Source organism: Homo sapiens, chromosome 11, assembly GCF_000001405.40.
Source record: "Homo sapiens chromosome 11, GRCh38.p14 Primary Assembly".
In the NCBI taxonomy this organism is placed as follows: domain Eukaryota; kingdom Metazoa; phylum Chordata; class Mammalia; order Primates; family Hominidae; genus Homo; species Homo sapiens.
In genome coordinates, this window is record NC_000011.10 from 59,931,105 (window position 1) to 59,957,875 (window position 26,771).

Consider the following 26,771-nt stretch of genomic DNA (forward strand, 5'->3'; position numbering starts at 1 on the left):
TGAACCCAGAAGGCGGAGCTGGCAGTGAGCAGAGATCGCACCACTGCACTCTAGCCTGGGTGACAGAGTGAGACTCCATCTCAAAAAAAAAAAAAAAAAAACTTACTTAGAATGCTAGTAGGAGCTGCACCAGTAGCTGCAGAATTTACCTAATATTTGCAAAAATCATCCTTGAAGAGTCCCACTCACTTAAGTGATTTCTGAATGTCCTCCTCGAGTCTAACCCTTAGATTTCTTTTTCTTTTCTAAAAAGGATTTACATATCCCAGAGACACTGTGGTGTGCGAGGCACTGACGGATGCTTCTAGGTGGACAATGTGTATCTCCTGAAGAGTCTGTTTAATCTGAAGATTCTCAAAATTCCTAATCTATGAAAAGCTTAAGTTTCCTTTAAGTTGATTCCTACGAAAATATTTATTAATTCCTCCAGTAGTGTTCCTTTTTCTACACTGAGATTTGTACAGGCTCAAGAATATGCTGTCACTGTGTTTTGGGATCTTTGGGGTGTCAATTTTATTTCCAGAAATTTCTGTGGCTGGTGGTGCCTTTGCCTGGGTTCTTGTCCTATGTTGAGGAAGAATGAGGTGCACAGACAAGTGAAGGGTGAGGAAGACCACAAGGAACTTTATTTAGTGTTAGAACAGCTCAGTGGAGACCAACAGTAGGTAGCTCCCCTCTGTAGGCAGGCAGGTCACTTGTGGAGCATTCCACTTTCAGCAGGGAGGGTAGCTTCTCTCTGCAGCTGGTCCTCTGGATGGCTACTGCTCTCAGCAGAGAGGAGGTCCTGGAGAGGGTAGCTCCTCTTCACAGGCAGGTTGTTTGGTTGTCTCTGTAGGTCTCTGAAGCTCTCAGCAGAGAGGGTAGCTCCTCTCTGCAGCTGGTCATCCTGTGTCTGTTCAACTCTGGCTGAACCCAGGGCTTTTATGGGCCTCAGAGGGGAGGAAGTGCATGCCAGTTGGCCCATGGGTGGCCGTGGGTGGGACTGGAAAAGGCACCAGCTCCCTGTTGGGTCTGTGGGACTGGCAGCCTGGTCCCCAAACTTCAGGCCCTCCCTGGCCTGAAGGAGGGACCTTACTGGAAACCCACCCCCTTCCACTTGGAACTCTGTCTGCCTCCTGCTGTTCATGGTGCCTGGGCTTGGCCTGACTTTGCTCTGAGATTGGAGCAGGTGCCGACAGCAGGGAGAAGCCAGATGGCAGGGGCAGGCACTTTCTAGCCTGTGAGAGCAGAGTGGGGGACCTTTCCCAGGCCCCAAGAGTGCAGGCATGCCTGAGGCTGCAGCCACAGTTTGGGCAGTTGCAGTCCCACCCAGGAGGGCAGGGCTCCTGCCTGCTGTGTGGAGCACACAGCCCTAGTTGTGCCTCCTTGCTGCAGCCGGGATGATGGCAGGCGAACTGGAGTGGCTGCCACCATCAATTGTACCACAATATAGTCAAAGAATGGATATGGCAAAATTTCCCAGACAGTCTATTAAGAGAGTTTTTTAATGACTTATTTGGACAATTTAAAATGTTATTTAAAAGGTAAATTAAAAGGATGCTGTTGTAGAAAGGAAAGGAAGATGCCTATGAATAATTACAATAAAACTATATTTTAAGCATGCTGCTTCCAGCTATAACCCTATACACTATGTTGTTTATCTTTTTTCATTTCAGAAATAGTTAAAAAGCATCAGATAAGTAGATCTGAAAATGTCCTTAATTTTAGAAAATGACTTAAAAGCTATATCAGGTGAAGCAAATCCAGTACCTAAGTTTTAAGTATATTTCAGTCAGAAGTTGGGGGCAGGGGAAGTACTATTGAAGACAGGTGGCTTTAAGAAAATTCATGAAATAATATAAAATGCAAACAAGACAAAAATGTTAAACATAAAAAATTAAAGTCTCATCTAATACATTCCTTGGTGATAGCCATTGTGCTCAATTTTTCTAAAGGTTTTCATAGTGTATGTATGCATATATATAAAATTAATATAAAATTTATATACAAGTTATATAGACTAATTTATATATTAATTATATCTTGTATGTTAACATTTAATATATTAATATTCACTATATTATATATAATACATTATATGTAATACATAATATATATAAAATTAACAACATAGCTCTTGCTAAGAAATATGTATACATACTTTAGAAAACTTTGTATATATCTGTGTATGTGTACTGTATATATATGTATACCATAGGTATGTGTGATAGGCATATATGTTATATATGTTATATATATACTGTAGGTATATAGATTTATTTTGTTATTTTTAATTGCTGAATATCAGTGCATTGTATCCATATACCACAATTGATTTAACTCATACCAAATTATGGATTGTTGAGTTGATTCTATTTTGCTAATATTGCAAAGAATACAGTAATTGATATCTTTTAAGATAAACTGTTGCAATCTCATATCAGTATTTCTATGGGACAAAATAATACATTAGGAATTGTGATAAAGAATAAACATACTAAAAACAGTATTTATTGCTAAATTGTCCCTGAAAATTTATCAATTTACTTCATCATAGGAAGTAAATGACATTATTTCTTTTCTAAGAAAACTGTCATGACTGAATGTTAACAAACCTCTTAAACATTTTTCCTCAGAAGGATGCAAATGATAACTATTTATTTAAATTTAATATTTTTTTGCCTATTGTTTTTGCTCAGCAAGTTTTTTTGTAGCACAGATCCCTTTCATAAAGGCAGACCCATCCCTGAGTTGTTTTTTCCTTATGGGTTTGATTTTTATGTCATTGAAAATGGTCTTCTCCAGTTAATTTACTAAAATAGTCATTGGTTGGTTTTTAGGTCTTTTTTGTTACATTAAAAATCATTTAGAGGTAACTGTAAATTCATACACAGTTGTAAGAAACAACACAGAGAGATCCTATGTACTTTTCACCCAATTTTCCCCAATGGTAACATCTTGCAAAACTAAAACACAATATCACAACCAAGATATTGACATTGATACAGTCAAGACACAGAACATTTCCATCACCACAGTGATCCATAATATGACCTTTTAAGAGCTACATCTACTTCCCTCCTGTCCCCATCCCCTCGTAAACCCTGGTAACCACTAATTTACTCTCTGTTTCCACTTTTTCATTTCAAGGATGTTATATAAATGGAATAGTATAGCATATTACCTTTTGGGATTGGCTGTTTTCACTCAGCATAATTCCATGGAGATTCATGCAGAATGTTCCAATGAAGCAATAATTTGTTCTTTTTCTTGCTAAATAGTATCCCATGGTATAGATTACTATGGTTCGTTTAGCCATTCATTTAAAAAAAGGGCATCTAGATTGTTTCCAGTATTTTGCGACTATGAATACAACTGCTAGGAATATTGGTGTACAGGCTTTTGTGTGAAAATAAATTTTCATTTATTTGAGACATGCCCCTGACATATCATTTGCTTAATAGATATCTTTGAATAATCGAATTGATAAATTGTGAGAAGAGAATAGAAAACAAAGTGTACCACATTTAGTTATTTTCATTAATATTCTAAAATACCTGTTTGTGAGAATTTACTGTTCCATTAAAGAGGTCATTAATAGGTCACATTTCTCTATAAAAACACTAATCTTATCAGCACAGTTTGTATTCTCTGTGCTGAAGATCCCCCAGAGGCACTGCAGTGAACACACAGGGATACCAGGGGATATTTTAAAAATTTCGGGGAGACAGTGAGTGATACTTGACAACTGTCAGACATGATGCAAATTACCAGCTCAAGGTAGTCCACAGTTCCACTTTGGTGGCACTACATTCTTTTCTATTAGTCCACAACTTTGTGCAACTTGGGATCTAGTGGTTGCTGTGATGAATAGCCAAAGCAGTTACTGTGGGAAAAATCCATGTGGAATAAGGAATGAAGATGGTGATGCCCAATCTGATTTCAAGAGCTGAGATGCTGTGCAGCGTCAAACAGTTATACACATATTATTCATAATTGTGGTTAAAGAATAAAATAAAAATATTTTCTTCCAATGTATGTGTTTTCAAATGGCTACTAAGTTGTCAGCACAAAAATACTGAAGTTATTTTGATGTAACAACATAATAAATGAAGCTGTTATGTATTTCTTTTCATGAAAGGATGCCATAAAAAGCAAACAAACAACAAAAGTTACTGTATCATTAAGAGAACTAGGTGAATGTTTGGGACCCTCTGCTATAACTAGTCACATATCCTAAAAATTTTCTAAGGGAAATAATTCTTTTTGTAAAAAAAAGAAAATTTGGCAAGATAGAAGTGTAATTCTCTAAACCCAAGGCAAGAAAAGAGAATGCAGATGCGTATAGGAGAATTACTCAGTATCTTCAGCCTCTGAAAGGGAAGGCTGGTTGAGCCCCGGTCCAGAGATTTATTGAGAGTGAGACTGAAGTATCCTGTTTCTCTTAGTCAGGGAGACACTTCTGTAGGCCAGACCATTGGACACCTTAGCTAGTGAGAGGATTCTTTCTTATTTTTTTCTGTCTGAATACATGTGTAAATGGGGACATAACTGCCATATTTTAGTGTTGCTAGCCATTTAGCTGAGAGTTAATTTGAATTAGTTAGGTGTCTGGGGATCCCACTGGATAGAGACAAACAAATGACACAGTTAATAGTGAATTACCAGCCCTGTACTGGTCATACTCCAGTCGAAGTAAAATGCTCAATGTGTATTTAGCCTGCTTCTATTAATTATTATATTAAATAGGTGTAAGCGAGTCTGTTGTAATTATGACTCAGATTCCAGAAGGAATAAGTAAAATGTGACCAAATAGAATCTGAAGCAAAAATTAAACAAACTTTGAGGCAAAAATACCACAAGCAAAATCAAAAGACAAATGACTGCCTAGGAGGAAAATATTTGCATCTTATATCGCGGATAAAAGGATAATCTCCCTAATATATAAAGAGCTCTAAAACAACGGAAAAGCTATAGAAATGTTCTTAAGATTATAACATTTTTAACTTCATTTATTCTTGCCAAAAAGGTTCGAGTCTAATTGTGAGGAAATAATCAGATTCTGAATGAGAGTCTTTACTCAAGATAGCTAGCCAAGACTCTTCTGAAAAGACATTTCCATACAAAACAAAAGTCATGAGGTACAACTCAATAAGATGAGAAATAACTCAATAAAAATGAATAAAATATTTGAATAGATACTTCCTTAAAAGGATATACACATGGCAGTCTGGGCTTGGTGGCTCAAGCCTATAATCTTAGCACTTTGGGAGGCTGAGGCAGGCAGATCACCTGAGGTCAGGAGTTTGAGACCATTCTGGCCAACATGGCAAAACCCTGTCTCTATGAAGAGACCCTGTCACCTCTTCAATGCTTCCATCCTCACCTTGAAAGTATTGCTCTTCCAGTGATTTAACCAGGTAATTTTTAAGATTCAAGCCACCTATTCTTTACTAGTTTATTGACGATTTGATAACAATAGTAGTTTCGCAGATTGTCAGATACACGAGGCTAAGACTGGGTGGCTGAAAGTCAGAGACATTGCCTTGTGCATCCTTAGGTACCTGTGGACAAGGTTTTGACATTCATTTGGACTGAACCTTAGCACTGTCCATCTAGATAGCAATGTATCTGAAATGTTTTAATATACCTTTAATCTCAATACACATTAAATTAAAAAAGCATAATTATTAAAATTAAAATATATTTGTGTCTTTAACACAAGTGAAATGTAAACATTTCAAAAACTTAAAAAGAGGCCATGCTCAGTGGCTCACACCAGTAATCCCAGCATTTTGGGAGGGCGAGGCAGGCAGACCACTTGAGGTCAGGAGTTCGAGACCAGCCTGGCCAACTTGGCGAAACCACATCTCTACTAAAAACACAGAAATTAGCTGGCCATAGTGGCGGGCGCCTGTAATCCTAGCTGCTTGGGAGTCTAAGCAGGAGAATCGCTAGAACCCAGGAGGCAGAGAGTGCGGGGAGCGGAGATCGTGCCATTGCATTCTAGCCTGGGTGACAAGAGCTAAACTCCATCTCAAAAAAACAAAAACAAAACAAAAACAAACAAAAATTTTTAAAAGGAACAAATGCTAACTAATTCTATTTTTTTTCTTTCTCCTGCCATCTTTTATTGGGCACCCATTTTGTGAAAGTTAGGACACACAAAAATACAGAGGAATGATCTCAACCTTTGAAGAGCTCATCATTTAATGGCATTTTAGAACTTTTAGAACAGACTAAATTTAATGATAAAATTCAGATAATATCAAGGATAGTTAAATGCATTTATATAGTCTTTTCTATTTGTTTTTGGTAAGCTCCTACTTTCCACGTTCTATTAACGTAGGACACAGTTGCTAAACTCTAATAACTGGTTATTAGCGAAAAAAATCAGAATATATTTGAACCAAACATTCATTTAGGCTTGTTTTGGTAATGAGATTTTGAATTTCTCATTTTTAAGTTGGCATCTTCTGTTTTGAAGAAAGGAATCTAAATGTGAGTAACCATTTACAGGCATTGCTACTCACAACGTAGTCTCCAGAGCAACATCCCTGCAATCTTAAAATGCAGAATCTTAGCCTTCACCCCAGACATTCCGAATTAGAATCTGCATTGTAAAGAGAGCCTCAAGTGATGTATATGCTCCTTAAAGTTTGAGAAGCAAACATCGCTGCTAATGGGCATCAACACAGCATGCACTCTGAAGGCAAAACCCTGTAGACCAGGGATTCTCAAAGTGTGGTCCCTGGGTGGTCAGTATGAGCATCGCCTGGGAACTTGTGAGAAACATCAATTCTCAGGTCCCAGCCCAGTCTTAGTGAATCAGAAAACTAAATGACACTCAGCTGTGCTTCAATAAGCTCTCCCGGTGATTCTGATATCTATTAAGTTTGAGTACCACTGTTTAGTTGGTGAAAACAGGTGAAAGTAGATGAAATCTTTCAATTCCCATGTTCTCAGGGCTTGGCCTTCTGAGATGCACAGAACAAGTAAATTATCATCCAGTTATTTCTTTCGTGTTCAGATGTGGAGACAGATGTTATAGGATATTAGGAAGTTTTAATAAAGTAAACCTTAGTGCATAAAAATAACTATATCTGATGCTTTGGACTCTAAAACAAGTGAAGCCTTCTGTTGTACTTCTATTGCACATTTTGCTTTATCTTTGCTCTTGTTTTTTGACATTTGAGTAAAAAGTGTAACATCTTAGAAAATGAAACAAAATTATATTTATGGCACGTGTGTGCTGTCCAAAGTTGTAATTAATTACCCACACCTATGTGTGGCTTCAGGCATTTTGGCATATAAGGCTATTCTCCCCAACTTCCTGTTTCCTGAGTGAGGTTTGGTTTTCAATCTGGGCAAATGAAGACCATTCTGGGGTTCAAAGGGCTCTTTTATCTGCATTCCTTGATATGGACCTGCGCTGGGGACTGGTCAGGTATAACTTATCACTTGGGGAATAGAAGTTTCTTAAAGAGAGCTGAAAGATGTGGCTTTGGATTCTTTACAGTTGTGGTCTGGTTGAATCTTAATAATAGCCAAGGACACATGGAGGGGTGGTGCCTCTTTTCGATGTGCAATCTTGAGATACCATGTTTTTCTCTTGCATACCGGCACTGAGACTAGGGAATGTGCCCTAACCTGAGACTGTCTTTCTCCAACTCCCCTTTCCTTTTGATCTTATTCTGACCATATCAATTCTTGGGGATCAAGTACTTGAAGTGGGTTTAATATAAAGAGTGTGGAGTGGCCTGGAAAACAGAGGAGTGGGTGGTGGTAGGAACTTGGGACTCTGTGGTGTGTCACATACAGGAAGAAAGCCTTATAAGGCTTAGCCTTTCTTTACCTTATACTTCATAGATCCTTTTCATTTCAGAGGGAGCAGTCAGTGCCCCCTAAGTGAGGTGAGCAGTGGTCCAGGTTTTCCCAGTACTTTTCCTGCGTCGGCCCCAAAAACCTCCTGTTCGGAGCAAACCAGAATGATTGGTAGCCCTGAGTATAAACTTGGGCTGTCAGTTTCTCTTCCTCTATTTCTGCTTCTCTTTCTCTTTTCCTTTCTTTCTCTCCTCCCTTCTTTCTTCCTTTCTTTCTCTTTCTCCCTCGTTCCCTCCTCCCTCCCTCTTTCTTTTCTTTCCCTTCCTTCCTCCTTTCCTTCTTTTCTTCCTTTCTTTTTTTTTTGGGACAAGAGTCTCGCTGTCACCGAGGCTGGAGTGCAGTGGTATGATCTGGGCTCACTACAGCCTCTGCCTCCCGGGTTCATGTGATTCTTGTGCCTCAGCCTCCCAAGTAGCTGGCACTGCAGATGTGCACCACCACATCCAGCTAATTTTTGTATTTTTAGTAGAGACGGGGTTTTACCATATTGGCCAGGCTGGTCTCAAACTCCTGGCCTCAAGTGATCTGCCCACCTCGGTCTCCCAAAGTGCTGGTATAACAGGTATGAGCCACTGTGCTGAATGCTTTTTTCTGTTTTCTTTTCTTTCTCTCCTTCTCTCTTTTTCTTTTTTTTCTTCCCTTTCTCTTCCTCTTCCCTTTCTATTACTCTTCCCTTTCTCTTCCTCTTCTTTCTCTTCCTCTTCTCTTCCTGTTCCCTCTTCCTCGTCCCTTGCTCTTCCCTTCCTCTTTCTCTTTCTCTTCTTTTTCTCTTTTTTCTTTTTCTCTTCTTTCCCCTTCTCTTTCTCATCTTTCTCTTTCTTTTCTTTTTCTCTTTCTCTTCTCTTTCTCTTCTTTCTCTTTCTTTTGTTTTCTTTCTTTCTTTGTCACTCAGGCTGGAGTGCAGTGGTGCCATCGTAGCTCACTGCAGCTGTGAACTGCTAATTAAAAAAAAATTTTTTGTAGAGACTTGCTATGTTGCCCAGGCTAGTCTCCAACTCTTGACCTCAAGGAATCCTCCCACCTTGGCTTCCCAAAGCTTTAGGATTAAAGGCGTGAGCCACTGCTTCCTGCCTGGGCTGTCAATTTCTAAGGTTAAGATTTCGGAATTGCAGTGAAAGGTTGTGTATACTTGTCAAGCTACCCGTTCAACAAGACAACCTAGACCTGACATGGGTACATGTTAGAATCTTAGTGTATTCATTATGCTTTCTTTTATTAGGAACTATTTAAAATGGATAACTAAGTTTAAAAAAGCAGGTAACTATAAGGAATAATATCAATATTCACTGACCTGCTCTTCAGCTTTATTAAATCCATAATTTGCTACATTTGCTTACATTTTATTTTCTAATAGAAGTAAAAGTTCAGGTAGAGTTGAAGTCCCTGTGGTCATTCCTGATCCTATTCTCTTCCCTCTTTGCCCATATGTGAGTTTGGTAATTATTCATTTTCCTGTGTGTTTTACAATTTTACGTCAAATTTGTGGATCTGTAAATATGTTTCGCAGGCATTTATCTTCTATTTCTATTTAATTCTACAGCTTTTTTGTTGTCCATCACTTGGAGATTTACATTTGTAGCTTTGGTATATTTTAATTACTATTTAGCAGTCCAGTGAATAAATGCATTGCAAATTGTTTCTGTTCTCACATTGATAGAATTTTTCTAGTGTGGGGCCGTTACAAATAATGTTTGTATTTGAGTGGTTTCTTTTTGTGTGTGCATATCTAGGAATGGGACTGTGAGGCCACAGGTACAGATCTGAAAAGTAACTCTCTTGCTCAATTGTTCTTTAATTCTAATTGGTGCTCACAGATGTCTTACTTTTTGCTAATGTGGATATGAATAACTGGTTTTACATTTAAGGAACGTCTTATTTTTAGGTAATTGTAGATTCACATGCAGTGTAAGAAATAATACAGAGATCAATTATACTATTTATTCAGCTTCACACAATGGTAACATCTTGCAGAAATATAATACAGTATTACATTGGGATATTAATATTGATGTAGCCAAAGGACAGACATTTCTATTGTAATCAGGATGCCACTTTTAGAGCCACTTCTACTTTCCTCCTGAACCACTAATGCCAAACCTTCTGTCTCCGTTTTCCTTAATTTTTGTCAAGCACAGATCTGTTCTCCATTTCTACAATTTTGTCATTTCAAGGGTGTTATATAAATGGGCTCAGAGTTTGTAACCTTTTGGAATTGGCGTTTTTTTTCACTCAGTGTAATTCCTTGAAGATTCATCCAAGATGTTGCGTGTATCAACACTTGATTCTTTTTATTGCTGAGTGGAATTCCATGGCATGATTGTACCATGGTTTGTTTAACCATTCACCCACCAAAAGACATCTGGGCTGTCTTCAGTTTTTGACTATTATAAATGAAGCTATTGTTAGCATTTATGTACTTTTTTTTTTTTTGAGACAGAGTCTAGCTTTGTCGCCCAGGCTGGAGTGCAGTGGCACCATCTCGGCTCACTGCAACCTCTGCCTCCCAGGTTCACATGATTCTCCTGCCTCAGCCTCCTGAGTAGCTGGGATTACAGGCACGTGCCACCATGCCTGGCTAATTTTTGTATTTTTTGTAGAGATGGGGTTTTACCATGTTGATCAGACTGGTCTTGAACTCCTGACCTCGTGATCCACCCGGCTCGCCCTCCTAAAGTGCTGGGATTACAGGAGTGAGCCACCTCGCCCAGCCCATTTATGTACATTTTATGTGAACATACATTTTTATTTCCCTGGGATAAATGCCGAAGAGTTTAATTGTTGAGTCATATGGTTGTTGTATGTTTAGTTTTTAAAGAAATTGACAAACTGTTTTCTAGTGTGGTTGATACATTTCACATTGTCCCAGCAATGTATGAGTGACCCAGTTTCTCGGCATCCTCACCAGCGTTTGGTGTCTTCACTATTATTCATCTTAGCCATTGTGATAGGTGTGTAGTAATATCGTGATTTGAATTTGGATTTCCATAATGGCTGATGATATTAAACATCTTTTCATATAGTTATTTGCAATATGTATAGCCCCTTCTGTGAAAGGATTGCAGATTTATATTCCTTTGGTTTCTCCGCTGAGTTTTCAGTATCTCCTGAGAACTCAGGCTCCTTCTAGTATCTTAAGAGCAACTGATAAAATTTTCCTTTAGTGAAGTCTAGAAGAATAGCCAAACTTACTCTTAAAAAATCAAAAACAAAAAAACTCATGCCTACCCAGTCTCATAATTTCTAGTTTGATCTAATTCTCTTTCCCTGGGACCTAATTCAAGCAGCAGATTGTATCAGAAAATTATTTCCATTTCCAGAGTAAAAAAACTTAATGTCCAGATATTTCAAGATAGAAGGGAAAGGATAGCACTGTTTTTACTCAATTTCTATAAAAGCCTGCTTGCTAGCTTGAGTTTTGTGGACAAGTCTTTATATATCATGAAACTGTGGGTATAAAAATGGAAACTGCTTGCTTCCATAGAAATGGAAGGGCTTGCGTCAAAGAGCTTCAGTTGAACAAGGGAGACAGAAAATGCTCTATACTTAGTATAAACATTATAATATAGATATAGTCTTGTGATTCTAGCTCTACAATAAGTGACTTTGGAGGGTTAGATGAAATCTTATTTTGTATTGATTTTTTCCCCCCTATATATAGATTCACTAAAGAATGTATTTGAAGAATGAGTATATGTGTGGATATTTTTAGGGGATGAAGTAATAATTCAGAGACCATGTTTTGCAAACTTGTTCACCTCTTAAGACATTTTGTTTTAGTAAGGGATGATCTCTTCATTTGTATTAACAGGGTATGCTAAATTTTTTTGAGCTGATCTATGTAATTGCATACTAACAAAATTTCTTTTTCCTGCTTTTCAGCTATTCAAGTACACTGCACCCAGTTTTGGTTCTTTGCCAGGATTAAACCCACGATATTTTACAATTTGTATGTGAACCCCGATGAAGTGTTTCTAGGAGATGGCTGCCATGTAACCCATGTTTTGCCAAATGTCTACTATGAGTTTTTCTACCATCCTCATGACTGTGGTATTGTAACTCAAGTAAGAAATGGCTATCTTACTTAAAACCCAAGTGTCCAGGTGTGTGATGTTCCCCTTCCTGTGTCCATGTGTTCTCATTGCTCAATTCCCACCTATGAGTGAGAACATGTGGTGTTTGGTTTTTTGTCCTTGCGATAGTTTGCTAAGAATGATGGTTTCTAGCTTCATGGGGCCTGTTGTGGGGTGGGGGGAGGGGAGAGGGATAGCATTAGGAGATATAACTAATGTTAAATGACGAGTTAATGGGTGCAGCACACCAACATGGCACATGTATACATATGTAACAAACCTGCACGTTGTGCACACGTACCCTAAAACTTAAAGTATAAAAAAAAAACCAACAAAAAAACCCAAGTGTCTTATGGTTCCTTCAACATACCTACAAACTAGAAGTCATTAAGTGTCTATTTGTAATATGGCTAGACTCTTTAATGATCACATTTAGGACAGAAGCAGTTAAGAAAGGAGATGCTAAATGCTTTTCTCTTGTTAGGTGGTAATTGCAAACACTAATTATTCATTTAGTGATGGAGCAGGCGGGAGAGTTGAAGGTTTTGAAGGAAGAAAGTATTTTCCATGCATCAGAAAGTTTTTCAACAGTTTCTCTAACTAATTATTTATTATAATTCATGAAGTTTGGTCAATTGCGACCAGAATGAGGGAGTAACACTAATCAAGCATCAGAAGCCTTTTCAAAGTAAATATTCAGTGATCTCCCAGCCCTAGCCCCTACTCACCAGATATTTTGGGTTAACTAAGTCATTGTGCATATCACTGATAAAAGTATAACTGGAATTTTGACTTAATTTAAAAAGTTTTTAAAGTTAGTAAAATCTTGCTATGATATTACTTATTTTTTTCATTATCCCAAATAAAACGCTAAAAGAAGTAATAGAACTTGATCAGGTTTAGATAAATTCCACAGATTGGGTAACACAGAAAGCAAAAGCAAAATTTGAGGTAGAGTTGAGTGTGCGGAATATTTATTAAGAAGTGTTTTTGGGAGAAAGAAGATTGGGCAAAGGGCAAAGCTGAGCTGTGATGCAGGCTTAGAGACAGCTTTGGCTGACCCTGCACAGGGCTTCACATTCCTGCTGGGTAGGTGATCAGAAGTGGGCCACCCTGGGAGAGGGGTGTGGCCAGGGGTAAGACAGCCCTCAGCAGCTACATAATTCCTGGAGGGGGTGAGAGCTGAAGGCTGAAGGCTATCTGGTAACAGCATTCCTAGCAGCTGGGTCAACAAGCCCTTAGGGGATCTGGGAAGCACATTACAGGTCTAATACACCACAGCAGGTATTAGGGGGGCACTATCAACCTTGATATAAACTGCGGGGGGGGGGCAGGGAATATTCAAATGTTAACTGAATAATCTGGGTGGTGGTAGTATGTTAATTTCATTTTATCTATGCTTATATTTTCAAATTATCCAATGAGAGCAGGATATATCTGAGACGGGAACATTTAAAATTATGTAATGAATATGGGTATCTCTGAATCATCATATCCTCCTATGCTGTCAAAGATTGGGCCTTATATTGAGAACCATATGCTAAATGTTCTTAGAAAAATATTTTACTATTAATTGTCTTAACTCCATTCCACCCCACCCCCCTGAAAACAGCTATACTTCCTGTTAGGTATTTACTATATGCTGATAACTTAATCACTATTATTCTTTACCACCATAATTATTGCTTTTTTTAGAAATAAGAAAACAGACTTAATTGTTTAAACACGGTTTCCAAGGATTCATGATGAATAGAGGCAGCTCCAAGATTCCAAATGTGATTCATATGATCTCAAAGCCCATGCTCGCTTTGAATAAGCAATGTATCACTACAACTGTGTGTCTCAAAAAGAGGTGTCAATTGCTTTCTTGAATGTGAATCACAAAGCTCCTTTCTCTTTTAACTAACAAGTATTGCTTGCCTTTTATGTGCAAGCACTGTGCCAGATTTTAACCCATCTGTCAGTTTGGAAAATGGTCCTGTTTCCTGTGAACAGATGCTATTTATAGTTGAGTGAGAGTGTGACCATTTTTAGAAAGCTTGATGTATCTATAAATTCCTATTTAAATGCCTGTAAGTTTCCTGAGATACTTGAGACAAACATGGGTTTAAAACCTCTCTTTGTCTTGTAGCCTCTCCAGGAAGTTCTTCTGCTTAAAACTAAAATCAGGTATATCTCAAGAGACTCTACTGTCCGATCTGAAATGCCTCTGTCGTGTGTCGTCCACAAGTGAGTATGGAATGCCAAACCCCTGTCCTAGCCCCTGGCTTCATTTACTGTCCAGACAAAAATGCCAAACCTGAAAGGTTAAATGGTACAACCAGTGATGGGAGTTGGGGAGACACCAAACCCTAATGGGAACACAGATCTCTTGATCCTTGGTGTCTTAGTCCTCTGTTGCATTGCTATAAAGAGAAATGCTGGCTGGGCACGGTGGCTCACACCTGTAATCCCAGCACTTTGGGAGGCCGAGGTGGGAGGATCATGAGGTCAGAAGATCGGGACCATCCTGGCTAACACGGTGAAACCCTGTCTCTACTAAAAATACCAAAAAAAAAAAAAATTAGCTGGGCATGGTGGGGGGTTGCCTGTAGTCCCAGCTACTTGGGAGCTTGAGGCAGCAGAATGGCGTGAACCCAGGAGGCAGAGCTTGCAGTGAGCTGAAATCGTGCCATTGCACTCCAGCCTGGGTGACAGAGCGAGACTCTGTCTCAAAAAAAAAAAAAAAAAAAAAAAAAAATGTCAGAGACTGGGTAATTTATAAGAAAAGAAGTTTAATTGGCTCATTGTTCTGCAAGCTGTGCAGGAAGCATGGCTGGGGAGACCTCAGAGTTTTTACTCATGGCGGAAGGCAACGGAAGGCAACAGAAGGCAAAGCTGGAGCAGGCATACTCACGTGGCTGGAGCAGGAGGAAGTGGTCGGGGGAGGTGCTGCACACTTTTAAAAAACCACATCTCCCGAGAACTGTATCATGAGACCAGCACCAAAGGGATGGTGCTAAACTAGGGGTCCATAACCCCTGAGCCATGGACATGCAGTGGTCCCTTGCCTGTCAGGAACCTGGCAGCACAGAAGGAGGTGAGCAGCAAGCCAGCATTACCACCTGAGCTGTACCTCCTCTCAGATTAGTAGTGGCATTGGATTCTCATAGGAGCACGAACCCTATTGTGAACTTCGCATGTGAGGGATCTAGGTTGCGCACTCCTTATGAGAATCTAATGCCTGGTGATCTGAGGTGGAACAGTTGCATCCCCAAACCATCACCCCCTATCAGTGCAAAAATTGTCTTCCACAAAATTGGCCCCTGGTGCCAAAACGTTTGGGGACTGCCGTGCTAAACCATTCGTGAAGGGTCCACCTCCGTGACCCCATCACCTCCCACCAGGTTCCATCTCCAATATTGGGGATTACAATGAACATGAGATTCGAGTGGGGACACAGATTCCAAACCATATCACTTGGTCTTGTATTCTTCAAAAGTTGTTACAACTGTCCCCTAGAACATAGGAATACTAGGAATATTATTGAAAAATGAAATGATGACTTATTTTTCTATATAAGTGTCAGGGTCCCTGAAAACCTGATAGGTTTTCACCAACCAAATCAAGTTATTTCAGTTATTTAAACTTGAACCCATATGCAAGTTTCCTGAAGGCAATAGAGAAAGCATAATGAAGTCTAAAAGACACTGAACTCATCAGGTTGTCAAGATCAGCATGTACTATGCAGGGCTGACAGTGTTGGGAGAGAGACATCTTAAAACAGGATTTGTGGGTTAAGATTGGGTCTTTTTTTTTTTTTTTATTAATTGACATCTTGAGAAAGTCTAAGTGCTTATTTCATATTATATGCCTGTATCAAAATATCTCATCTACCATATCTATCTATCTATCTATCTATCTATCTATCTATCTATCTATCTATCTATCTGTCTATCTACTCTGTACCCACAAAAACTAAAAATAAAAAAATTTAGAAAATTAATAACCATTTTGATTAGGTCTTAGCAAAAGTGTGATATATTTGGCAGGACTTTGGACAATTTTTCAATTAGGTTTTTCTGGTTAAAATCCTGAACTGAAATTTTTTTTCCCTGAGTAATTACAGAAGAGCCATATTACATAGAGCTCTTCCCACAGATAATTATAATAGCAGCTAACATTTATTAATCACTTACCATATGCCTACACTGTGCTTGTATGAATGTATTTTTTCCTTCTGCTAACTCAATGAGGTAGATATTCTTCTTCTTTTTTTTTGATTTTTAAGTGGTTGAGCCTCCTTATTTTGTTCAGGCCGATCTTGAACTTCTGGGTTCAAGGAAGTCTCTCTCCTCAGTCTCCACGTAGCTGGGACTATAGGCACCCAGCTATGGTGGTAGATACTATTATGCCAAATTCAGGATGAGAAAATTGAAACAGAGAAATTAAGTTACTTGGTCAACATCATTTGCTGGTAGATGGTGGAATCAAGAAGTGAACCCAGAAGTCTGTTTTTTAAGTCTTTGCTTCTTAGCACCACAAATACTGCCTGTGATGTTCTGGGGTGGGGTGTGTTGGGGAGTGGTGGCGGGAAGCAGAAATCAATACATCTACTAATAACAGGAATTTGGCCCCAAGTTCAGCCTTGTAAATGCTAGGATCTGAGTAGATCTTAACCACTATGTGATATTTTTCTATCTTCTCTTATTTTAGTCAGCATCATCTTTTAAATGCAGTTGAAATGAGAGATGGGGAAACTGACAATGTTAATGAATGGGAGATAGAGGTGAGGATACACATTGCGAATGAAGACATGGGCAGTAACTTCTGCAACACAATCTTGGTAAGAACCCTTCAAAACTGGCATCTTATGATTTTTGTCCAGGTATGTCCTAGATACCAGTCAATACAATTGTCAAGGAAATGGCACACATTTGTGTTAAGGTGCATTGTGCCTAAAATGTTTCCGGTTCAAGAATGCAAATTCATGATTTCCTATGTTTGTTGGAGATTTTATTGATCATGGTGGTCTTGATAATCTGTTACTAACTGGGAACCCCATATAACTAAGAGCTATCCATTTTGGGTATTATGTGAAATACTATAATTAACTTAAAAAGAAAATACCTATCAATTTCAATATCAATAAAGTTCTGAATTGTAATAAATGAGTATTAACACTGAGCCTACAAAGTGGCTTAGATATGTTGATGATCCCTGGGAAAGTGAACTCAGAAGTGTCATAAGTCTGTGTTGCAGCTTTTCCCAGGAAGTACCAAATGACTGTAAGGTAGTACAGTTTTTCATTCTTGAGCCCCATATGAAGGTATATTATGAAAAATCCACACACATTAATATCTGGCTATTAATAAAAGGATGGAGCTGTGTTTAATAGAGAGTAAACAGGATACCTAGAACATTTGGGATGTACTTCATAGCTTAGAGGGCAAAAGTATCCTTATTCACTTATACACACATCACACTTGAATCATTAAACACTTAAGGATTAGTCTCAAGGATAGAACATATACTTTCTTTCTTCTCCTCCCTTACCTCCCACTTACACCTTCTCCTTCATTTCCATACATATACTTTGCTTTACTTATGAATAACAGGCTCTTAGAAGTAGGGAAGTAATGTTTACATTGGGACGTATATTTTACTGTCTTTCTTCCATTTTGGTAAGAATCTGACTGCTACACTCCCTCGTTCATCAAATGAGTACCTTTATTGCAAGAGAAGAAACTGTTCTGTCCCCTTTGATATTGAGAGGCAATTTGGAATCTCTGCCATGATTGCTTAGGACTGAGGATTTAATGTGCTATTTTGTGAAAATCTGAGAAGCAGGAAGGGGATTTAATGCTCTCAACTGTTATCCATCTGAAAAACCTAAATTGTGATTTTAAATAAAAAGCAGGCTGCCTTCCACTATTCCCTTTTTAAAATAGGAACTGCCACTGCTCTTAACTTTATGAAGTTTTATTTATGAATAAAGTTTATACTACTATATATCTGTTTCTAGTTATTGCAAGACTGACTTGTATGTAATTTTAAGCTTCAATGCTCATTAGAAATAGGTTTTTAAGGGTACAGTTACTAACTCTTCTCAGTTGCTGATTCATGCCCTTAGCTAAGGCTTAGTTGTGGTTGGTCCTGGTAACAGTGCCTAATCATTCATTTATTCCACAAAGAATCCCTCATGGAGTTCACACTTTAGTAGGAGGAGGCAGAGTATACACAAAAAACATACTCTATGGTATTTTAAGAAAGAGTAAATGCACCTTAGGGAACAGAGGCAGAGTAAGAAGACAGGGAATACTTGGGTGAGGGTTGTGGTCCTTAATATGGCATCAGGGAAGGCATCCGTCAAAGGTGATGATTGAGGAAAGAGCTCAAGGAAGTGAGAAAATGAGCCCCGCAGATCCTGGAGGGAAGGCCGTTCACACATGTACCCTAAAACTTAAAGTATAATAATAATAAAATTAAAAAAAAAAGAATATGGGAACAGCTGATGTAAAGTCACTGAGTGTTTGCAGAACAAGGCCAGCATGATTGGAGAGGGAAAGTCATACAGGTGAGGTCTTAAAACAACAACTGAAACATCTAAAACAATGAGTGGAGTACCTCATCTAATGTCTCAAAGTTGATTGACACACTTGGCTTTTGTTTGAAATAAGATGGGCACCCCCTGGAAAGCTCCAAATGGAGGAGTGACATGATCTGACTTGGATTTTTATGATCAGGATCACCCTGGCTGCTGGATGGAGAATGGATACCAAGAGGAAGCAGCGACTGAAGTAGGGAGAAGGATTAGGTAGTGATGACTACAAGGCCAATGGTCCTCAGCTAGGGGCAATTTTACCCTCTGGGGGATGTATCTGGAAGCAGCTTTGTTCATTACAGTGATGGTGTTAGTGTCCTACTGGCATCTGTATAGACCCAGGGATGCTGCTGAACATCTACAGTGCCTAAGACAGCCACTGATGACAAAGAGATTTCCGGGCCCAGAGTCAATAGCACTGAGGATGAGAACCCTGGTTTAGATGTAGCATGGATTTCATAGGAAGAGTTCAGGTCAATTGATCTAAAGATTTGCAGACAGCTAGATATGAAATATGTTAGAGGAATCTGGAGAGTTTAGGATTTATGAGCTACTACAAAGTGGGAGATGCTACTGTCTTGGATAAAAATGTGGAAGATGTTGGTTCGGAAACCTTATTTTGAAAATGCCATGTTTAAGATGCTGCTTAGATCTCCAAGAGGAGAGAGCAAGTGAGTAGTTGAATATAGAGGTCTAGAGTTCAGAGGGAGAAGGTCCAGACTGGATGTAGAACATTAGGATTCATCAGTACATACTAATACTTAAAGCCAGTAAGATTGCATGAGTTCAAAGCAAAGAAGTAAGGAAAATGAAGACAATCAGTCCAAGGTTTGGGTCTTGGCATATCCAATGTTAAGAGGTTGCTGAGAGAAGGCAGAGCCTTTGAATGAGCCAAAGAGAAGACAGTAAGGTCAATTGGAAGTAAAACCAGGGCAGAGTGGGGTCCTGGGAGCCGTGCAGGTGGAGTTGTCAGCTGTATCTTCTGTTGCTGAAAAGTTAAGTGGGATGAGAACTAAGCGTTGTCCATTAGATCCAGCAATGTGAGGGGCATTGATGACTTTGATAAAAGACAGTTTTGGTGGAGAGGTATGGGTGAAAATTGGTTGAGTCAGCTTTAAGGAAGTATGAGAAGAAAGAAACCCAAAGGTATGAGTACAGGTGGCTTTTTCTAGGAGTACGGCTGTAAAGAGAAAAATAGAAATGGGGTCATTGTAGGGGAAAGTGGAGACAGAAACTAGTGTATAAGATAAGTACCTGCACATGGTAATAGTTTTTTTTTTATAGATTACCATGAATTTCTGAATACTTTTTAAAGAGATCCAGATGTTTAAGAAATGATTAAGAAATTTTGGCTTCAGAGTTGTGTCCTTAAATAAAAACTGCCTGCATTACTATCATATGATAGTAAAAAGTCCCAAACATTTATAATAATCACTACAGCTATTTATGATAAATTATCAAATTGCAAAAAAATCCAAACTAGTGTACAGGTGGAGGGATAAGATGGATTGCTGAAATGCTGAATATAAAAAAAGGTGGGTAGAAGGTTGAGGCACATCAGTAAGTCAGGTGGGGTAACCTCGTATTGCTCAAATTACCTCCACAATAACAGATCCTAAAATTAAAAAAAAAAAACATGGCATGAAATTATACACATTTACTTTTCTGTCACTACCATAGACCTGAAAAAGAGACAGATCGCTGAGCACAGTTTTCATGCTTACTTTACCTACTCTCTTGAACTTTAGAGCCCAGGTAATCAGGAAAGGCTAGGATTTTTAGAAAATTGGGCTGAGTACATGGTAAAGCATTAGAAGGTGTGCATATACAGCGCCTGAATTCATTGCGAGCTATAAAGTCACACGAGGCAGCGGGTGGGCTTCATTTTGTGGTCTGCATCCTGAGAGGTTGTTGCTTTGGATCTGGTATCATGAAGGCTCTCTTGGAGTTAGCTTTAGCTCATCTCCTTGTTGCTGTGATTTTTCTGGGTGTGGAGAACCAAGCAGTATAAATCATACATTTCAGACATTTGCTCAAAGAGATGGTTTTTGTTGACAGGCTCAATGTGCGTGTCGAAGAAATGAACTGCATTTTTTTTTTTTTTTTTGAGATGGAGTCTCATTCTGTCGCCAGGCTAGAGTGCAGTGGCACAGTTTTTTTTTTTTTTTTTTTTTTTTTTTAGCTGACAACCACTATTTGGACAAGTTTCCAAAATCATGCTTCCATCTTTATAATTTAAAAAGAAGTCAAACTTCCTAACTCGTCAGAATGCAAAAATTCATCAGCCTGATTAGTTCCAAAGGATTGATTGGTCAGCCAAGTAATTTCTTACTTTAATTTGAATCAATAGCTAAGAGAAAAAATATTTTTAACATTTCACTGATTCATGTTATATTTGGTATAATATGAATCAATGGAATGGAATCAATGGTATAACATGAATCAATATTTAAAATGGAGCACTAGATATCAAGACCTACTATAAAAGCATTTGGTTAAGGTGGTACCTGTCATGTTGTAAAGTTATTTGTTATTTATTATAAAGTTATTTATCAGAGGCAAAAAATAGTATTTTGTTGGGAGGATGCTTAAATATCCTATTTCTTCAATATGGAGATTCCTTAAAGAGCTAAAAGTAAATCTATTTGATCTACCAATCTTACTACTTGGTATCTACCCAAAGGAAAATAAGTCATTATATGAAGAAGACATGTATGCTTATAGCCACACAATTCACAATTGCAAAGATGTGGAACCAACCTAAGTGCCCACTGACAAATGAGTGGTAAAAAAAAATGTGGTCCATATATATACCATGGAATACAACTTGGTCATTAAAAGGAATGGCATAATGTCTTTTGCAGGAACTTGGATGGAGCTGGAGGCAATTATTCTAAGTGAAGTAACACATGAGTGACAAACTAAAAACCCTCTGTTCTCACTTATAAGTGGGAGCCAAGCTATTAGTACACAAAGACATGCAGAGTGATATAATGGACTTTAGAGACTCAGAAGAGGGGGAAGTTGGGAGGGGTGCTAGGAATAAAACATGACATGTTAGGTACAATGTACACTACTTGGTCCTGGGTGCACTAAAATCTCAGAATTCACCACTATCTAATTCATCTATCTAACAAAAAAATCACTTGTACCCCCAAAGCTATTGAAACCAAAAAATTCCTGTTTCTTGTCAAATTTTTACTAGTTTTAGCATCCACTGATTTTTGTTCCAAGTAATTATTAATGTGGTGGCTGCAAATATTGATTTCTGCCCCACCTTTGCCCCCATTCAATCGTTCCTTCTATTAGTTGGCATTCTTAGGTAAGTTAGAACTTGCCCCTTCCCATTTTCCATTATGTCTAATGAAGCTATATTAATACACATTTTCCTCTGGTTAGTATGTATGCTGTCTTTTTCTATTGGTTTATTTTTACATTTTTCTGTTTTCATGCTTTAAGCATGACCATTTCCTCCAGTGAGTTTGATTTTCCTTCTGCCTATGGCTAGAAAATGTCCTTCGTCTTAGGAACTACTTCAGCCCCTTGATTATTCTGGCTTAGAGCAGGAGTCCCAGATTAAGCTTCCCTACCTGCTGTTGTGAGTTTTAGTACTTACAAAGGACTTTTGCTAGAGGAATTGGGCCCAGAGCAACTTTTCCCCTGTTGGCTTCCTTGTTGCTCAGTTTCCTGCTACTCAGGCTCTGGTCTCCTGACTTTGCTGCCTTGCTTCTGTTTCTAAGATTTCTCTTAGATCTCATATATATATATATTTTTTCTCTCTAGGAAGATGATTCTGAACTGTTTCCTAAGACAGAAATGTACTGATGTGTTCTTGTTGGATCTTTCAGACTTTGACATATACTGTACTCTTGATTCACTTCATGTCAAAATTAAAGCACTGACAGTTGATGATTGGTATGTGCTTTCTAATGCGGAGTCTCTGGAAAGTGGGTGTTCTGTAACCAATGTATGGCAAGACTTTTTGTATGTTTCTGTACCCTACAACTGATGGTGGCATCAAATCTCAGACAAGAGCAATTGCTATTTTTCTTGGTTGGGTTGTTTGGGCAGCCCAGAAATCAGCTGCCTCAGAGAAGGTCCTTGTAAAGCAAGGCTAATCTGATTTTTACAAATATATTTTTTCAGAACATAGGAAATCGACATGTAATATAGATAATAGTTCCTTGCCTGTCAGTCAATGAATTAAACCTCTTAAGCATATTGAGCTCTAGGATAGGGATTGGCAAACTTGTTCTGTAAAAGTCTCCATAATATAGTCATGAGTTGCTTACTAATCGGAATATGTTCTGAGAAATGCATTGCTAGGTGATTTCATCATTGTGCAAACTTCATAGAGTGTACTTACACAAACCTAGATGGCATAGCCCATTTTACACCTAGGCTATATGGAATAGCCTGTTGCTTCTAGGATACAAACCTGAACAGCATGTTACTGTGCTGGATACTGCAGGCAACTGTATCACATTGGTATCTGTGTATCAAAACATATGTAAACATAGAAAAGATAAACAGGGTACACGTGTATAGAGAAGCTCCATTATAATCTCATGGGAACACAGTCATGTATGTGGTCTCTTCTTGACCAAAATATCATTGTGCAATGTAACTGTATGCATTTTAGGCTTTGTAGATCATAAAGTTTCTGTTGCAACTACTCAGCTCTGCCCTTGTTCCATGAAAGCAGACATGTGCAGTACGTAAACAAATAAGCATGGCCACATGTATTCTAATAAATTTTTTTTTTTACCAAAATAGGTAGTGGGCTAGATTTGGCTTGTGGGCTGTAGTTTGCTGAACCCTGCTCCATGGGATGCTAAGTTAAATTGAACACAGAACTTGCTCTGAATATGTTGACAGTTCTGCAGAGAGTATCGTTTTTATTTCTCTATTTACAGCAAAATCACTCATCTAGTAGTTTTAAATTCCATGTAATTATTGAAATTGTAGAAGTTCAGTCCATTTTCCACCAGAGAAAAGTGAAGGGACTTTATCTATCTATCTATCTATCTATCTATCTATCTATCTATCTAATCATCTATCTACATATTCTTCTACAAAAATAATAGCATCTTTCATTGAGTTTACTCTTTCCCTGGGTTTATACTAAGCTTCTCGAGGGTTGGAGGGAGAAAACTGTAGTTTTGAGGATTCATGTATGATCCTCATATAGAATTATCTGAGTATACCTCTATACTTGTCAAATTCTGAAGCCCAATTTAGGTGTAGGCCTTTTTTTCTTTAATCAGGCTCTCCTTTGGTTTTCTTCTTCTTTTTTTTAACATGTAAAAAAATTGTAAGAATTTATCTCAGAAATCAAGAATCCTTTTGTTAGACAAAGAGAACATTTAGAGGTGCTATACAAACATGAAACTAAGCCTGTATCTAGTAGTGGTATCATGAGAACTTTTATTATTATTTACCTATTTTTTCCTAATACTTTAGAATTTGCATACCTTCTGGGAAGAAAGCACAAAAAAACACATTATGGTTTACATTAGAATGAGATAAAATTCGTCAACTGGCCAAAGGAAATCTAGGACCCAATATTATATAGAAAATAAAATATTTCAGTGAATGTGCTTATTAAAGCATTTCATCAACCATGAACTATCTTTTTAAATCCTTTCAGTCTAATTGTGGATATTATTTATATTGACTTCTTAAGGGCCAATATCTTTATGAATTTTTCATATCTTTATGGTTTTTTTTGTCTAATACTACAATACTATGAATCTGGCATTGTCTCGTTTCATAGGAAACCATGACTTTTAGGAAGATAGAAATAGTAAGATATTCAGGGAAAATACAAAATTTAAACAAAGAATAAGCCCAATTATACAATAAATGATTTAATTGCTTTTTAAATAATGGTATTTGAATAATTATGTTGTATCATAGAAGCAATAGATTTAGATTAAATTAAAACTTACTAGGGGTTCCTGCTTTCCTACACAGTGTGCCAAGTTTAATAGATCATCTATTTTTTTTTTTTCTTTGAGACAGGTCTTGCTCTGTTGCCTGGGCTGGAGTGCAGAGGCATGCCTATGGCTCACTGCAGCCTCAACATCTCAACAGTGCTCAGTGGGCTCAAGCAATCCTCCCACTTCTCAGTCTCTGAGTAGCTGGGACTACATGCTCACACTATCACAACTGACTAATCTTTGTATTTTTTGTAGAGGTAGATTTATGCCATGTTGCCCAGGTTGGTCTTGACTCCTGGGCTCAACTGATCCTCCTATTTCGGCCTCCCAAAGTGCTGGGATTACAGGCATGGGCCACTGTGCCTGGCCAGATCATCTATTTTTATTTATTTATTTTCATTTATTCCATTTATTGAATAGAACAAAGTACGTGGAGCTGTGCTAGGTGCTGTGAGACAGTGCCACTCAAAGAATGACATGTGATTAATGGACTAGTACACCAATCTGTGACCAGCGGATATAGAAATGGAGGGTGAACTACTTTTGTAGCAATTGGATATCCAAGAATGCCATCATTAGGCTTGCAGTTTTCTTTCCTCCTTCCCTTCCTCTCCTCTCTCCTTTCCTTCTTCTTCTTCTTTTTTTTTTTAAAGTAATTCATTTTCATTGTCAAATGTATTAGTTCAAGGTGGGTTGTGAACCAAAAGCATGATAGCAATAGCAGTTTCCTTGGCTGAGGACATTTGCCTCAGGGAGTCATGGCTAAGTTAATCACGTGAGTGGCAGGGCTGCCAGTCTCCCCTTGTTTCCCTCCCATCTTCTTTCATCAGAGCCTTAAGATAGTCCTGAGATCTCAGGAGCCCTATTTTGTTGTATATCCTCTGCCCTGATTTGAAGAAAAGATGATTCTTACTGTGGGCTTTAGCCTTTTGTTTTTCTGTAAGTAGATTCATTTGTTTACATTCCTCTTGTTCTATAACCCCATTTCTCTTTCTCTGACTTTTTTTTCCATTGGTTATTGGGGTACAGGAGGTGCTTGGTTACATGAGTAAGTTCTTCAGTGGTGATTCGTGAGATTTTGGTGCACCCATCACCTGAGCAGTATACACTGCACTATATTTACAGTCTTTTATCCCTTGCCCCTTTCCCACTCTTCCCTGAGTCCCCAGAGTCCACTGTATCTTTCTTATGCCTTTGCGTCCTCATAGCTCAGTTCCCACATATAAGTGAGAACATACAATGTTTGGTTTGCCATTCCTAAGTTAGTTCACTTAGAATAATAGTTTCCAATCTCATCCAAGTCACTGTGAATAGTGTTAATTCATTCCTTCTTATGGCTGAGTAGTATTCCATTATATATATATATAACAGTTTCTTTATCCACTCGTTGATTGATGGGCATTTGGGTTTGTTCCGTGATTTTGTAATTGCGAATTGTGCGGCTATAAACATGAGTGTGCAAGTATCTTTTTCATATAACAGATCATCTAATTTTAAAAACAAATATGCCTTTCTGTTCACTTTTACCTAAATTTGTTCCTTTTAAAAACTTTGAATGCTTCTTTGAATTCTGTAAAAATTTAACTGTAATGTAATTGATGAATCTACTTAAAATTTATTTTGTACCCTCAGGTTTTAAAAGTGAAGGTTATTTTTAGATATCTGCTAATATTTATCTCAAGAACATTACCAAGGCGATGACTCATGCATATTTCATGTGCTGTTGAGCGAGATGATAGATCTTCATCACACCCTGCAATTTCATTTATCCATCCAAGGTACTTGTGTTTGGAGAGAACATTAAATGTCATCCTGGAATGTCTGTTTAATGATGATACTGGTTTCTGTTTTAAAATGTGTCATCATACGTGTTCATTGGATCTTCAACCACCTATTTTCCAATAAAATTCTGAAAACGAGCTGAAGGGGCACTTTCTTAAGCACTAAGTTCTGACTAGAGCTGGATGCTTTTCATTCCACATTCTGTATTGTTTAGTAGAACAATAATTTATCTCTGCAAATATTAGGAGATGCCTGCTATCCTTAGACAAATAGATCATTATTCATGTATTAATAATTCTTTTAATATACTGTTGATATCAGGATCAACCTGGAGTTCCATTAATTCCTGTATTTCATATTTTCTCTGTCTTATTTTTTATGGCAAAGACTAGATGGGCACATTAGGGTTTACAACTAGATCAGCAAGAAGAATGAAAAAGGTAAAGAATGAATTTAACTAGCCCTGAGGATAGTTGTTGTATATGTCTTCAGGACCCCAAGATGAAACTTAAGAGTCATTTGGTACTTTCA

General features: G+C 38.0%; 1 protein-coding gene across 2 annotated transcripts; it reads left to right on the forward strand.

Annotated features, from left to right (window-relative positions):
• Positions 1 to 7,327: 7,327 nt before the first annotated feature.
• On the forward strand, positions 7,328 to 26,376 carry OOSP1 (oocyte secreted protein 1). 2 transcript variants are annotated; one of them, XM_047426711.1, is made up of 6 exons: positions 7,401 to 7,426; positions 7,865 to 7,974; positions 11,743 to 11,924; positions 14,065 to 14,162; positions 16,629 to 16,758; positions 26,091 to 26,376. In XM_047426711.1, the coding sequence occupies exons 1-6, from the start codon at positions 7,401 to 7,403 to the stop codon at positions 26,157 to 26,159; spliced, it is 615 nt and encodes a 204-aa protein (XP_047282667.1). In that variant the 3' UTR covers positions 26,160 to 26,376. The 2 variants fall into 2 exon arrangements, with proteins under 2 accessions (NP_001382205.1, XP_047282667.1); NM_001395276.1 differs by lacking the exon at positions 7,865 to 7,974 and having other exon boundaries at positions 7,328 to 7,426.
• The last annotated feature ends 395 nt before the right edge of the window (positions 26,377 to 26,771 follow it).

What these genes read in the sequence shown, in the direction of transcription:
- OOSP1 (XM_047426711.1), top strand. Translation starts at nt 7,401, where the DNA reads ATGGACCTGCGCTGGGGACTGGTCAG. An exon ending in GGAGCAAACCAGAATGATTG is followed by an intron (nt 7,975 to 11,742) that starts GTAGCCCTGAGT and finishes CCTGCTTTTCAG; the next exon opens with CTATTCAAGTACACTGCACC. An exon ending in CTGTCGTGTGTCGTCCACAA is followed by an intron (nt 14,163 to 16,628) that starts GTGAGTATGGAA and finishes CTCTTATTTTAG; the next exon opens with TCAGCATCATCTTTTAAATG.